The sequence below is a fragment of the Homo sapiens genome, chromosome 1 (genome assembly GCF_000001405.40).
Source record: "Homo sapiens chromosome 1, GRCh38.p14 Primary Assembly".
Lineage (NCBI taxonomy): Eukaryota > Metazoa > Chordata > Mammalia > Primates > Hominidae > Homo > Homo sapiens.
The window spans coordinates 172,228,506-172,244,273 of NC_000001.11; the positions used below are offsets into that span (position 1 = coordinate 172,228,506).

The 15,768-nt window shown below is 38.7% G+C and overlaps 1 protein-coding gene across 19 annotated transcripts in view, besides 1 other annotated feature; it reads left to right on the forward strand.

Annotated features, from left to right (window-relative positions):
- The window catches only part of DNM3 (dynamin 3), a 576,969-nt gene that overhangs the window by 387,008 nt on the left and 174,193 nt on the right, over positions 1 to 15,768 (forward strand). The gene's annotated exons all lie outside the window — the stretch shown is intronic.
- Positions 450 to 650: a silencer, noted in NCBI's record as "peak456 fragment used in MPRA reporter construct". NCBI's record gives its function as "represses an SCP1 promoter by STARR-seq MPRAs in K562 erythroleukemia cells {active_cell/tissue: K562}" and the evidence as "EXISTENCE:reporter gene assay evidence [ECO:0000049][PMID:32103011]".

A 15,768-nucleotide genomic window follows, 5' to 3' on the forward strand; every position in this document is an offset into this window, starting at 1 on the left:
TTTTCCCTCTGATTACTTTTGTTTTCTTTGGTTATTGTTTAGAATTTTCCTGGCTATTTGCAACTGCCTGTTCTTCAAATGAAATTTACAATCATTTTGTCAAGTTACCTCTCATAAAATTGTTCCAAAGTTTTTTTGCCTAAGATTTTATTATATCACTGTATAATTTAAGGAGAATTTAGAACTTTAAATATTGAGATTTCTATCCAAGATCTGTTTCTCTATTTCAGCTTTGTTATATATCCCTCAGAATAATTTTATAAATGTATTCATATAAGACTGCACATTTTCTGGTAGGTTTATGACCAGATGTTTTTTAGTAGATACCCTACGTTCATTTAATGGTTGATTTGGAGTGCAGTCCCACAAGTTGAGTCTAAAGTGTGAAAATAAATTTTTTAAAATTTTTATCAATCATTGTCACCAAAGACCTCTTCTTTTGCCACTTTCTACTATGAAACACACTTTTTCCAAGTGGCTCAATGCAAGCTGTACCTCAGAATCCTGTCATTTCTAAATAACATCTTATCTATATGCTATTTCCATGAAAAGCTAGTTTGGCCAAGATTTTGCTGTAAAGTATCCAACGAGTTAGGCTTTCATTATTTTTCTGGTCTTACTTAATGAAGAAACACATCTGGGAAATCAATGAGTATTTGAACTCACTGGGCTTCATAAACACTCTAAATTCAGTCAACCAACCATTATGCTTAATTCACATTCAACCAACCAACAATTATTGAGACTTAGTATGTTCAGAATTCTAGAACTAGAAACATTTCTCTACTCTGGAGTGACTTATTGTGTAATAGGAAAAACAGGTATAAAACAAATAATTGAAATATATGTTATAAAACAATCTGAGAAAGTCAGTAAGAACTCACAATCAAATGGCAATTAAATAACTGGTGAATGTATATAAGTGTCTAATTAAGTAGCATTTATTTGTAATGAACAGCACACTCAGACAGACACATGCCCAGCTAAAGCAGTTTCTACAGGATGTGATGTGAACTCTTTTTCCCACTCTACATATGAAAATGTTGTCTTTAATAATCATTAGATCTATCCTATCCATAGGTTTAACTCTAGCAATAACTTTTTGAATTTAAAAACCCAAGTGATTAATATTTTGTGAGAATGATTGAGTCCGTGGCATGGAATAATAACTACATCCTTTTCATTACATAGATATGTATGTATATTATAATAACATAGATTATACTACAAAACATACACGCACGCCACACACACACACACATACATACATGTGTGCTTCTTGGGGTCCTAGAATTTCTAGCTTCTCCTCACTGAGAAACTGGTGAGGAGAATGCTCCTTCTGTCACTGTCCAAATTGTGCTGATTCTTCTTTGTGTATGCCACCCTGTTCTCTTCTTCTGCTGGTCTTTGCTAGGACAGTGTATTGACATAGAAGTTCATTATTTCTCTGCACAGACAACTCTTATCCTTTGCTCTTGCTTTTATTCAAAGCTCCCTCTCTAGTGTTACTGAAGGGTTTTATTTTTTAATTCTTTCACTAGGGGAGTCAAAACTATTACTTCCTGCTTAACCTATAACTCTGATGATGGCTTTGCCATGTTGTCATGGTTTTTTGTTTGTTTGTTTGGCCTATATTCTGAGAATTCTGTGTATCTTGGCTCTGCCCCATGTGAGAATGAGCGAGATTTATTATTTCATGGGGACAAAGCTCTTCATTAGGATACAAACTATAAAACTGGGTTTTTTCAATTGAACAAAATTGTGGATGTGATAACACACCCATGAAATTTCACTAAATCATAACTCTGTCTTCCTCATCTCAGCATTTAATAAATTAAATTATTCAATTGATTTTGAGAATTTGACTAAAGCTATGGACTCTCCCTACCTCCTTACAATATGTATGTTTTGTAAAAGTTTGCATATTTTTGTAGGGGATTGATTGTTTTGCTGAACACTTGGTGCTCTATTGATTTCAGGAAAGAATCCTTTGTTTAACTACTTCATGCCCAATATAGGACACATGCTATTTGAAAATGAGAAAAAATAAATATAGTAACAGTGTTTTAACAAAATTAGAATGTTCCTTCAAATGAATGTTATTTTCTTACTTACCGTTTCTTTTTTTATTACAGCTTGAATGTTAAATGTTTCATGGGTGTATAGTACTTCCTCTGTTTACTCATTCTCTTTGACCCTCTTCAGCCCATTGCGAGCACACTTCTGTTTCCAGCACTCTACCAAAATTGTGGTTCTAGTGGTTACTTTTCTAGCCATATCCTGCTGCATTTCTTAGAAATAAATGTAACTAACTTCTCCCTCCATCTTAGAACACATTCTCCTCTTGGCTTCCATAACATTACATTTTCCTGGTTTTTCCCATTCTACTTACTTAGTCCCCTTTGACTAGTTTGCCCTTCCTCTCTCTTACCTCTAAATGTTGAAATGACATAGATCTTCTCCTCTTTTCTGTCCTCATACATCCTCTCTAGCTGAACTCATCTAGGAGTTCAGCTCCTAGATGAGTTCATCTCATTTAAATACCATCAATATGCCATATTTATGTGACTACCATAGTTATGTCTCCAACTCTGAACTCCAAACTTGGATATCCAACTACCCTACTGGGGGGTGCCTCCCAGTTAGGCTACTTGGCGGTCAGGGACCCACTTGAGGAGGCAATCTGCCTAACTGGGAGGCACCCCCAGTAGGGGCAGACTGACACCTCACACGGCCTGGTACCCCTCTGAGACAAAACTTCCAGAGGAACGATCAGGCAGCAACATTTGCTGTTCTGCAGCCTCTGCTGCTGATACCCAGGCAAACAGGGTCTGGAGTGGACCTCCAGCAAACTCCAACAGACCTTCAGCTGAGGGTCCTGACTCTTAGAAGGAAAACTAACAAACAGAAAGGACATCCACACCAAAAACCCATCTGTACATCACCATCATCAAAGACCAAAGGTAGATAAAACCATAAAGATGGGGAAAAAACAGAGCAGAAAAACTGCAAATTCTAAAAATCAGAGCACCTCTCCTCCTCCAAAGGAACACAGCTCCTCACCAGCAATGGAACAAAGCTGGATGGAGAATGACTTTGACAAGTTGGGAGAAGAAGGCTTCAGATGATCAAACTTCTGCGAGCTAAAGGAGGAAGTTCGAACCCATGGCAAAGAAATTAAAAACCTTAAAAAAGATTAGGCAAATGGATAACTAGAATAACCAATGCAGAGAAGTCCTTAAAAGACTTGATGGAGCTGAAAACCATGGCACGAGAACTATGTGATGAATGCACAAGCTTCAGTAGCCAATTCGATCAAATGGAAGAAAGGGTATCAGTGATGGAAGATCAAATGAATGAAATGAAGCGAGAAGAGAAGTTTAGAGAAAAAGGAATAGAAAGAAACAAACAAAGCCTCCAAGAAATATGGGACTATGTGAAAAGACCAAATCTACATCTGACTGGTGTACCTGAAAGTGACGGGGAGAATGGAACCAAGTTGGAAAACACTCTGCAAGATATTATCCATAACAATATTAACCTTAAATGTAAATGGGCTAAATGCTCCAATTAAAAGACAAAGACTGGCAAATTGGATAAAGAGTCAAGACCCATCAGTGTGCTGTATCAGGAAACCCATCTCACATGCAGAGACACACATAGGCTCAAAATAAAGGGATGGAGGAAGATCTACCAAGCAAATGGAAAACAAAAAAAGGCAGGGGTTTCAATCCTAATCTCTGATAAAACAGACTTTAAACCAACAAAGATCAAAGAGACAAAGAAGGCCATTACATAATGGTAAAGGGATCAATTCAACAAGAAGAGCTAACTATCCTAAATATATGTGCACCCAATACAGGAGCACCCAGATTCATAAAGCAAGTCCTGAGAGACCTACAAAGAGAATTAGACTCCCATACAATAATAATGGGAGACTTTAACACCCCACTGTCAACATAAGACAGATCAACGAGACAGAAAGTTAACAAGGATATCCAGGAACTGAACTCCGCTCTGCACCAAGCAGACCTAATAGACATCTACAGGACTCTCCACCCCAAATCAACAGAATATACATTCTTCTCAGCACCACACCACACTTGTTCCAAAATCGACCACATAGTTGGAAATAAAGCACTTCTCAGCAAATGTAAAAGAACAGAAATTATAACAAACTGTCTCTCAGACCACAGTGCAATCAAGCTAGAACTCAGGATTAAGAAACTCACTCAAAACCGCTCAACTACATGGAAACTGAACAACCTGCTCCTGAATGACTACTGGGTACATAATGAAATGAAGGCAGAAGTAAAGATGTTCTTTGAAACCAACGAGGACAAAGGCACAACATACCAGAATCTCTGGGACACATTTAAAGCAGTGTGTAGAGGGAAATTTATAGCACTAAATGCCCACAAGAGAAAGCAGGAAAGATCTAAAATTGACACCCTAACATCACAATTAAAAGAACTAGAGAAGCAAGAGCAAACACATTCAAAAGCTAGCAGAAGGCAAGAAATAACTAAGATCAGAGCAGAACTGAAGGAGATAGAGACACAAAAACCCTTCAAAAAATCAGTGAATCCAGAACCTAGTTTTTTGAAAAGATCAACAAAATTGATAGACCACTAGCAAGACTAATAAAGAAGAAAACAGAGAAGAATCAAATAGATGCAATAAAAAATGATAAAGGGGATATCATCAGCAATCCCACAGAAATACAAACTACCATCAGAGAGTACTATAAACAACTCTCTACACAAATAAACTAGAAAATCTAGAAGAAATGGATAAATTCCTGGACACATACACCCTCAGAAGACTAAACCAGGAAGAAGTTGAATCTCTGAATAGACCAATAACAGGCTCTGAAATTGAGGCAATAATCAATAGCTTACCAACCAAAAAAAGTCCAGGACCAGACAGATTCACAACCGAATTCTACCAGAGGTACAAGGAGGAACTGATACCATTCCTTCTGAAACTATTCCAATCAATAGAAAAAGAGGGAATCCTCCCTAACTCATTTTATGAGTCCAGCATCATCCTGATACCAAAGCCTGGCAGAGACACAACAAAAAAAGAGAATTTTAGACCAATATCCCTGATGAACATCGATGCAAAAATCCTCAATAAAATACTGGCAAACTGAATCCAGCAACACATCAAAAAGCTTATCCACCATGATCAAGTGGGCTTCATCCCTGGGATGCAAGGCTGGTTCAACATATGCAAATCAATAAATGTAATCCAGCATATAAACAGAACCAACGACAAAAACCACATGATTATCTCAATAGATGCAGAAAAGGCCTTTGACAAAATTCAACAGCCCTTCACGCTAAAAACTCTCAATAAATTAGGTATTGATGGGACGTATCTCAAAATAATAAGAGCTATTTATGATAAACCCACAGTCAATATCATACTGAATGGGCAAAAACTGGAAGCATTCCTTTTGAAAACTGGCACAAGACAGGGATGCCCTCTCTCACCACTCCTATTCAACATAGTGTTGGAAGTTCTGGCCAGGGCAATCAGGCAGGAGAAGGAAATAAAGGGTATTCAATTAGGAAAAGAGGAAGTCAAATTGTCCCTGTTTGCAGATGACATGATTGTATATCTAGAAAACCTCATTGTCTCAGCCCAAAATCTCCTTAAGCTGATAAGCAACTTCAGCAAAGTCTCAGGATATAAAATCAATGTGCAAAAATCACAAGCATTCTTACACACCAATAACAGACAGAGAGCCAAATCACGAGTGAACTCCCATTCACAATTGCTTCAAAGAGAATAAAATACCTAGGAATCCAACTTACAAAAGATGTGAAGGACGTCTTCAAGGAGAACTACAAACCACTGCTCAACGAAATAAAAGAGGATACAAATGGAAGAACATTCCATGCTCATGGATAGGAAGAATCAATATCATGAAAATGGCCATACTGCCCAAGGTAATTTACAGATTCAATGCCATCCCCATCAAGCTACCAATGACTTTCTTCACAGAATTGGAAAAAGCTACTTTAAAGTTCATATGCAACCAAAAAAGAGCCCACATTGCCAAGTCAATCCTAAGCCAAAAGAACAAAGCTGGAGGCATCACGCTACCTGACTTCAAACTATATTACAAGGCTACAGTAACCAAAACAGCATGGTACTGGTACCAAAACAGAGATATAGACCAATGGAACAGAACAGAGCCCTCAGAAATAATGCCACAGATCTACACCGATCTGATCTTCGACACCTATTTAATAAATGGTGCTGGGAAAACTGGCTAGCCATATGTAGAAAGCTGAAACTGGATCCCTTCCTTACACCTTATACAAAAATTAATTCAAGATGGATTAAAGACTTAAATGCTAGACCTAAAACCATAAAAACCCTAGAAGAAAACCTAGGCAGTACCATTCAGGACACAGGCATGGGCAAGGACTTCATGACTAAAACACCAAAAGCAATGGCAACAAAAGCCAAAACTGACAAATGGGATCTAATTAAACTAAAGAGCTTCTGCACAGCAAAAGAAACTACCATCAGAGTGAACAGGCAACCTACAGAATGGGAGAAAATTTTTGCAATCTACTCATCTGACAAAGGGCTAATATCCAGAATCTACAAAGAACTCAAACAAATTTACAAGAAAAAAACAACCCCATCAACAAGTGGGCAAAGGATATGAGCAGACACTTCTCAAAAGAAGACATTTATGCAGCCGAAAGACACGTGAAAAAATGCTTATCATCACTGGTCATCAGAGAAATGCAAATCAAAACCACAATGAGATACCATCTCACACCAGTTAGAATGGCAATCATTAAAAAGTCAGGAAACAACAGGTGCTGGAGAGGATGTGGAGAAACAGGAACACTTTTACACTGTTGGTGGGACTGTACACTAGTTCAACCATTGTGGAAGTCAGTGTGGCGATTCCTCAGGATCTAGAACTAGAAATACCATTTGACCCAGCAATCCCATTACTGGATATATACCCAAAGGATTATAAGTCATGCTGCTGTAAAGACACAGGCAGACGTATGTTTATTGCGGCACTATTCACAATAGCAAAGACTTGGAACAACCAAAATGTCCAACGATGATAGACTGGATTAAGAAAATGTGGCACATATACACCATGGAATACTATGAACCCATAAAAAATGATGAGTTCATGTCCTTTGTAGGGACATGGATGAAGCTGGAAACCATCATTCTCAGCAAACTATCGCAAGGACAAAAAACCAAACACCGCATGTTCTCACTCATAGGTGGGAATTGAACAATGAGAACACTTGGATACAGGAAGGGGAACATAACACACCGGGGCCTGTTTTGGGGTGGGGAGAGTGGGGAGGGATAGCATTAGGAGATATACCTAATGCTACATGACGAGTTAATGGGTGCAGCACACCAACATGACACATGTATACATATGTAACAAACCTGCACGTTGTGCACATGTACCCTAAAACTTAAAGTATAAAAAAAAATAAGTAAAAAACATTGTTAGCTATTGGGGCCATACAGGCGTATGCCAAATCCAAATTTAGCTCTTGGGACTATAGTTTGCCAATCAGTGCTCCACTCCAAAATGTGTTCCCAAACCTAACTGTTGCTGTCCTCAACTACTAAATTACTTAGAAGGATCTCTGTCTCCTTCCTCCTCTACCATGTTAGTCTACTCTTTGGTTTTCCTGCTCTTGCCCCTACCTCCAACCCATAGCTCCACAGAGCAGCTAAGTGTTCTTTTAAATAAGACGTGCCATGTCTCATGTCAAGGAAAACTTCCTAGAAGAACCTATAAAAAATAATGTAGTACGATGTTTTTGTTATACTTCAAGAATTGAGACTTTTTCATGGAGAGAAAAGAGAGAGAAGGGGTGGTATTTCTAGAAAGGCAGGATAGCTCTGACCACTTCTAGTTTTATTTTAATGAATGCTGTTACTTGTTAACATTGGTAGTTAAAAATAAGAAAAGAATCTGCGATTTATCATTGTATATAATCATTAGGGTTTTCATATTGAGATATTATTCTGGATTATAACTCAGTATTTAAGCTTAGAGCAAGTGAGGAAAGGAGGAGAAGGAGGAGGAAAAGGAAAGGAAAAGGAGGGGAAGAAGAAGGGGGTAGAGAAGAGGACAGAGGGAGGAAGAGGAGAATACATACTCTGTTAACTAAAGTGGAATGAAACTCAATATTTACATTTACATTGTTTATCTCTCTTTGTGTTGCTCTGGTTCTTCATTGGTCTTGTCTTGCCTGTGCTAAACTTTTTCTATGACATTAAAGAGGTCTGGTGTGAAAATTGCCACTACCCTACTTCCTTGCTATTCCTTTCTGTCAGCTTCTTGAGGATATCTGGATGTGAAGCAGCTTTTCTTACCCTTGGAACCTTTGTCTACAGTTCTCCCTTCCTCTTCCTCTTCCTCTATCTCACTCATTCTCTCCTGTTTTATTAAGGGCCGAACATTATTGTATCGTTTCGCCAATATTTCTAATTCTTCTACAGCTCTTTAGTTTGCGCCACACAACTCAGCATTTTACCAACCCAGTTTCTTAAAGGAAGCAGATAATTTGCAGCGAAATTAAACATAGGTTCAATTACATATGTCAGTATGAATTAGATGCATGTTGCTGAGATATTTTCAAGAGTTCCTTATTAAAATAGTACTTCTTCCCCCTGAAAAGATGAAAATGCTTTTGTATCTATTGCCTCTTTGTTCTCATAAAGTTAGGTTTATTTTTTTTTCTTTTTTGAACTTAAGGATTGAGGTTAGTATTATTATCCCTGCTTTACATATGGTGAAACTGAAGCAGAGAGCAGGAAAACAATCTCCCCAAGGACACCCAGTGTATGTTCCAGCCGTGCCTGGGCCTCCCAGGTTCTGAGGGCCAGATCTGCACTTTTCTGCTGGTCTTACTGAGGGCAGTTAGAAGCTAAAGCAATTTCTAAGCTCTGATCCAAATTATTTGTAAGTCAAGGCCATTTGTTTGTACCTATTTTGAATACTTCAACCCTTTCGAGAGAATTCCAAATACACTTTTTCTAAATCAATATCTCTAAAACTTGGGTAATGTACAAATATCTTTTAAAGGATGAGTCCTCTTGGATTCTGAATGGACACAAATTGTTTTACTCACAATGTTACTTAAGTATTTACAAACAGAAAATTCTTTTATTTTACATATCCACAAACATATACATACATTATGCTTATTGTTCTACATCAAAAAAGCCAACCAAAATTACAGGTTAAATTTAAGTAGAACCATATTACTGAGAAACTTTAGCTGATCAACAACATTAATGTGAGAGATTATATTCTTTTAGGAAACATAATTAGCTGATCAAAAGCAATGTGTTCAGGCATGGGTTCTTTGGAGACTGGCGTTCTCAGGCTCCCCTGTACTGGGTGACCCCACCAGTCTGCTGCCACTTTCATTCTGTTGGAATGAAACTTCCATCCACTCAAGGCATTGTGATGTCACTGGAGGAAAGTACATAACTGATGTATTGATGTCTGCCTCTGCCCTTTTTTTCATTACCATACTATAAATACATTACTACCACTTGGTGCAAACACAAGCACTAAAATTGAATGGTGGTGTCCAATTATAAAGTCATGCCCCAGACAGTTCAGCAAATCTCTTTTACTAATTTTTATTAGATACCAACACAAGATTTCTTTTTAATTCTCACAAGAACTCACAGACTCTGGGGGTCAGAGGACTACAGTTGGAGAAATACTGCCCTACACTTCCTGGTTTAAGGCTGGGAGAAGCTGTCAAGAGTTTTCATGTCCAACCTTGGATTAAGCAGCTACCCACTGGGATGACTTAAGGGCAACCTAAGCCAAGAACCTCACCCCTACTAATTTGCTAGTGTACATGAATAATTCATTCCTTGTAAATGGAAGGACTGAACGACTCAACTTAAATTCAAATATATTACCCAGGAAGAATAATTAATAAGAGTTTATTCTGTAGCAGGCATTAATTTATTCTAATTATGCATGAAACAAAGCCTAGGGGAATGAGACATGGGATAGGTGAGTTTTGTTATCTTCGTAAGTCAGCATGTATTAAGTACCTGCTAGTATCAGAGATCGGCAGAGGTAAGCATGCAGTCCCATTCATGGTACCTGAAATCCAGTTGGTAATACAGAACAAATGGAACGAGAGGGGAAGCTTTGTTGGGATATAAGAGGGAGAAACCTAGAAACTAGGCAGCAGCAATAGCAGCTGACCCAGGCCATCTCTGTTTGAAGCTAACAGAAAAACAAAGCTGCCTGAATGGAAGACTTCAGGATAAGAAAAAAAAAAAACACCCTTTCCCACTTTACAGTTTTCTAGCCAGTCTTGAGACCCTTGCTCAGTTTTTAATGTGGAAGAACATTCTGCCACAAAAGGCAAATGATTCTCTAATTGCGGAATTTTCAATTTTCAGTTTCTTCCAGAACTTGCCTTTTTCCCCAAGTACTTTCCTTGACCTCTTCTGCACAATCCACTGTGAGTGCAAGGGGAAGAAATAAGTACCCCCTCTCAGCCTGTAGTCACATCTTCCCTCTCTCTATATGGCTATGGACGCAGTCCCAGAATTCTGGATTTCTTGCATGTCTGCCTTTAATAAGAAAGCAGAGTTTAAATAGGCTCTCACTATTGTTTCGCTGCTTCACACCCTCCTGGTTTGCTATTGTTCATGTTCAATGTGTGTTTCTCTACTAGGTACATAATTAACTTTCTATTTTTCCCTCACAGTTCAAAAGCTTACAAGTATAAAAGCTTGCTGTTGTAAATACATTGAAGAGAGAACACCATACTGTGTTTATGGGTGGGAAGATGGCTAGAAAATTTTTTCCAAGGAAAAGGAAATAAACATGTATCCGAAGTCCCTGAATACACGGTCATCTGCATGGTCTCAAATCTCCATACCCTCTCTGAGGCATGAATTATCACCTCCATACAGGGAGAAGAGAAATCGAGGAACTTACAGAAGGTTCACATAGCTAGTGTCAGAGCTCCTATGTGAACCTCTATGTTAACTCCAAACCATTTGTCATTTCCTCTTGCTGCACTACCCCTCATGGGATTCCTCTTCCATGGTCTTTGTCTCCAGAAGCTGAGGATAGATGGGGCCACCTGAGCATGCAGTGAACACAGAGAGCACTTCTGGGTTGGGCAGCTTTAATTTCTCTCTAATGATACCTTCTCAGTTCATTCTCTGGGTTCTTGGTTATCTCTCTCCCCTCCGCTTCTTCTTTTCTCCAGCCCTGTCTTTTTTTTTCTCTTTTTTTTTTTTTTTTTTTTGTAGTGGGCAGGCTAGGAGGCATGATTAGGATTGATGGAGGAGGGGAACTATTCCAGTTCATTTATTTTTTCCCTGTCCAAAGCCCAGTTTCGGCATGGAGATGTGTTGGAGCCAGTAGTGGTGCACAGACCACCAGCTGTGCTTGCAGTGATCCAGCCAAATATCATCTTAAATACAGGGCTGAGTCTCAGAAGGCACATGGAAGGGGCCCCCTTTTCCCTATTCTATCCCAGACTCCTGTACTCCTTGGAACACAGGGAGAAGGGCTCTTAACTAAAGTACAAAGGGCATGGTGCCCAGCTCTGCTTTTCAAAGAAACTATGTTCCTCTCAGAATACACCTCACAGAATCACGTTACTGTCAGTGGAGGAAAAAACCAAAACCTACAACAGTTCAACAGTCAATGCAAAGGGCTTCAGAAACCTTCATTAATTTGGTTATTTGGCTGAATGCTCAGGCCCTTTGCTTTTCTCCTTAGTGCTGCCTCTTTTTGAGTGTTTCTTTGCCTCTTTTTGAGAGAGAGGGGAACATTCAGCTTTGATTTTTGTTTGCAGCTTGGTGACAAATGATGGGGGGAAATTTAAACCATTCATCTACTGAGTTCTGGGAATTGTCAGAGGATTTTATTTGTACAGTGATTTTCTGACCTCCATTTTCTCAGAGAAGTAAAAATCATGCTGCATTTGTAAACAAGGTACTTTTATTAAGTTGAACTTTTACAAACATATGGTATATTTAGCCAAAATAACACTGTTATTTAAGGCAAGTACATCCAAAGGGCTAGCATGTAGAATTATGTTTGATTAATGTGCACTCAAAAGCTGTTACACAGTAAGCATAATTTCAGTTTGTGGAGTGTCTTAAATTTACTTTGTAATTTAATGTGAAGCCACATAAGTCAGAGTTGAAAGACATTTGTCTTTGCATTTTAATAATAGAAATCCATAGCATGTTACATGGACTTTCAAGTAAAGCAATCACTATTCTAAACTTGAAAGTTTCTTTTTTTAAAAAATATAAATTGCAATGCCTTGGAGCACAAAAAGAAATAGGAAAATTCAACCATTAAGCATTTGAAATGGGCTAATTTGAAGTGCTTGAAGCGTGTTTTGCCATGCTGAGTAAATTTTTCCCTTCCTAGTAACTGAAAAAGTATAAAACACTAAGTATCTGTACTTAGCTCACTAGTAAAGAAAATTTAACCCATGAATAGTAGTACTGCTATTATAGAGGTAGTTTGTAAAAGTTTATGAACATGCAAACCACCAGGATTTTTTTTTCTGTTCTACTATTTTCTGTTGCCTTATTTAGTTTCTTGCAAAGTTGCTCAAATGCCATCTCTCTCACTCACACCTTGAATTCTCAATTTAAAATTTTTCATGCATGGTATTTATCATATATATGTATATATACATAGATGTGTGTGTGTGTGTGTGTGTGTGTGCACGTGTGTATTTCTTGGTTAGAAGCTCTTTTTGAGCAAAAAGTCCTGGAATTTCAAAACTGCATAAACGTATGGCATACATACATATTAATAATTGATTTGTGTAAGTTTTGACTCTTATTATGTGGGAAGTATTGCAGGGTAATGCCATTGTTCTGCTTTACTGGCTATTCATTTTTGCTAAGCCATAATAATATATGTTGACTAGATATTATTATACTATTTTCAATGTTCTTAATTGTCAACCACAGAATCAACTCTAGCTAGTTTAAGTAGAAAATAATTTATTAAGAGGGATAAATCACTCTGAGAATCATTGGGAGGGCAAACTTGCAGAACTAGGCTGAGTTTCCAGGAATGGCTCACAAAACAGAATTTCCTGGGACTGCCAAGGAGCTGTTGTCTCCACCAATCTGGAGGCTGCATAATCAGGAAGCCACTGTTCCACTGTAGCCTCTGGATCCAGAGCCCCATCACCTCTGCTGTGATTCAGGCCAACAAAACAGGTGCCACACACTCTGCCGGTCTCTCATTTGACTCATTTTTTGAAACAAAGTCTGGCATGACTACATCTGATTGGCAGAAAGTATATCTCATCTGGAACTCTGGCTGTAAGAGCAAGATTGGGAAGGGTGAGAGGATTTTGAATTGCACTCAAACATTACAGGGCATTGGAAGAAGTGTTGAGATAGCCCATCTTCAGAATCCACTCCAGTTAAGAGCCTTGACTTGTCTAATCTATTAAGATTCTGTGCCATTCAGTTGCTTGAAAATTGTTGGAGGAGTGTGCAGAATACAGAATCTTCCTATAAGGTGATCAGTCAGCAGCCTGGCTTTTTCATTGAACTCATGGTGTACAGGGCATTTCCCCTGAATCTATGAGTCCCCAGAGAAGAAGAGTTCACTATCTTTCCTGGTAGGGACAGGGAAGCCCATCTGGCTGCTGGCGTTCTGGGGCAGGGCAAGAAATGGGCTGAAGGACAACATTTTAGTATGTAGACTTTCACTAAACTCTCTGGTTTTGACCCCACCCCTTGCTGTTCACCCTGCCTGGTATCTCTCAGCCTGAAACTTCTTTGGTATAATTTCTCTAGGAAAAAAGCCTCTTGTCTCCTGCTGAAGGTAAGAATGAGTTGCCGTGAGTAGAAAAGGTAGTCCTGTGCCAACAATTGTCTTGTGTACTTCTGGTTTTTTTGAAACAGGATCTCACTCTGTCATCTAGGCTGGAGTTCAGTGGCATGATCTCAGCTCACTGCAACCTCTGCCTCCTGGGCTCAAGTGATCCTCCCACCTCAGCCTCCTGAGTATCTGGAATCATAGGCGCCACCACATGTGGCTAGTTTTTTAAAAAAAATTTTGGAGAGACATGGTCTCACTATCTTGCCCAGGCTGGTCTGAAACTCTTGGGCTCAAGCGATCCTCCTGCCTTGGCTCCCCAAACAACTGGGATTACAGGCATGAGCTCCTGTACCTGGCCTGTTTTGTATGCTTCTATACATGGACTTCTGTCTGATCCCGCTGCCACAACCTCACTACCATACCCACGCATGTGGGTACCAGGTGTCTCCAAGGACAAGAAGCCAAATGAGGTGGTTTCTCCTCCATTCTTTCCCCCTGTAGGTATTTGGAGAATAACCCTTTTCTTTATGCTAGGTCAACAAATCCTCCTTTGTCTCTTCTCTCTTAGAAAGCTTTTGAAAATATTTTGTTCACTATTTTTCCTCTCCCATTTCTTTGTTATTGTGGATTAATATCTTTTTAAATTATTTTACTATTATAATATCATAGTAGGTTTGGGAGAAGGAGAAGAGATACATATATATGATCGATCTGCCATCTTTAGTCATAAGTCCTTTAAATTTATTCTTTAGTGTGTTTATCATTATTACATTACCAATCTCATATGTACAAATATGTAGGACTATTTCTCTAAATTTAAGAATATAGAGATTAAATATAAATATATGAGAACAAAATCCTTAATGTTCTCACTTTCAAATTATAAAGTACTTTTTTTAGTGGGAGGAAAGGGGAATGTGCATTTCAAGGATATTAGCTGTATCTGAGAATACAGGGCAATATATGCTAAGTGAGGAAAAAAATACATGGCCGAAGAATGTCATGAGAATGGAAAAGGGAGCCCTCCCATGGGCTTGTAAGGCCAGAAAGCCTTCCTGGAGGAGGTGGAAATTGAGCTGGACTCTGAAGAGGAGGTAGGAACCAGGAAGAGAGCAGGATCTCCAGCTGGGGTAATGTCAAGTGTGACTGGTTATCTTTCTCCTGCCAAGTGGAGATATCCTAGTGTGTAGCTCCCTTTCAGGATCTGAGTAGGTACGAGGGTGCAGCCATGAAGCCAGTGGTCTAAAGACCGTGGAGTTTTCTTGAGACTACTAGAACAGTCCATCAAACACAGGGAGTTTATACAGTGCTCAAGAGAAAAAGGTTAAAAAGTGCTGTTGATGAGCAACCTGCTGGTTCACAGATGCTCTTTACTATTCAAAATATAATTCTGATTAAAGCAAGGAATTAAAATCCAAATAAAAAGATGCATAGTTTATACTTTGAGTTTCATACTTGTACATCTCTATAGTTATAACTTCTTTTTTTTTATTATTATACTTTAAGTTTTAGGGTACATGTGCACATTGTGCAGGTTAGTTACATATGTATACATGTGCCATGCTGGTGCGCTGCACCCACTAACTCGTCATCTAGCATTAGGTATATCTCCCAATGCTATCCCTTCCCCCTCCCCTCACCCCACAACAGTCCCCAGAGTGTGATATTCCCCTTCCTGTGTCCGTGTGATCTCATTGTTCAATTCCCACCTATGAGTGAGAATATGCGGTGTTTGGTTTTTTGTTCTTGTGATAGTTTACTGAGAATGATGATTTCCAATTTCATCCATGTCCCTACAAAGGACATGAACTCATCATTTTTTATGGCTGCATAGTATTCCATGGTGTATATGTGCCACATTTTCTTAATCCAGTCTATCGTTGTTGGAC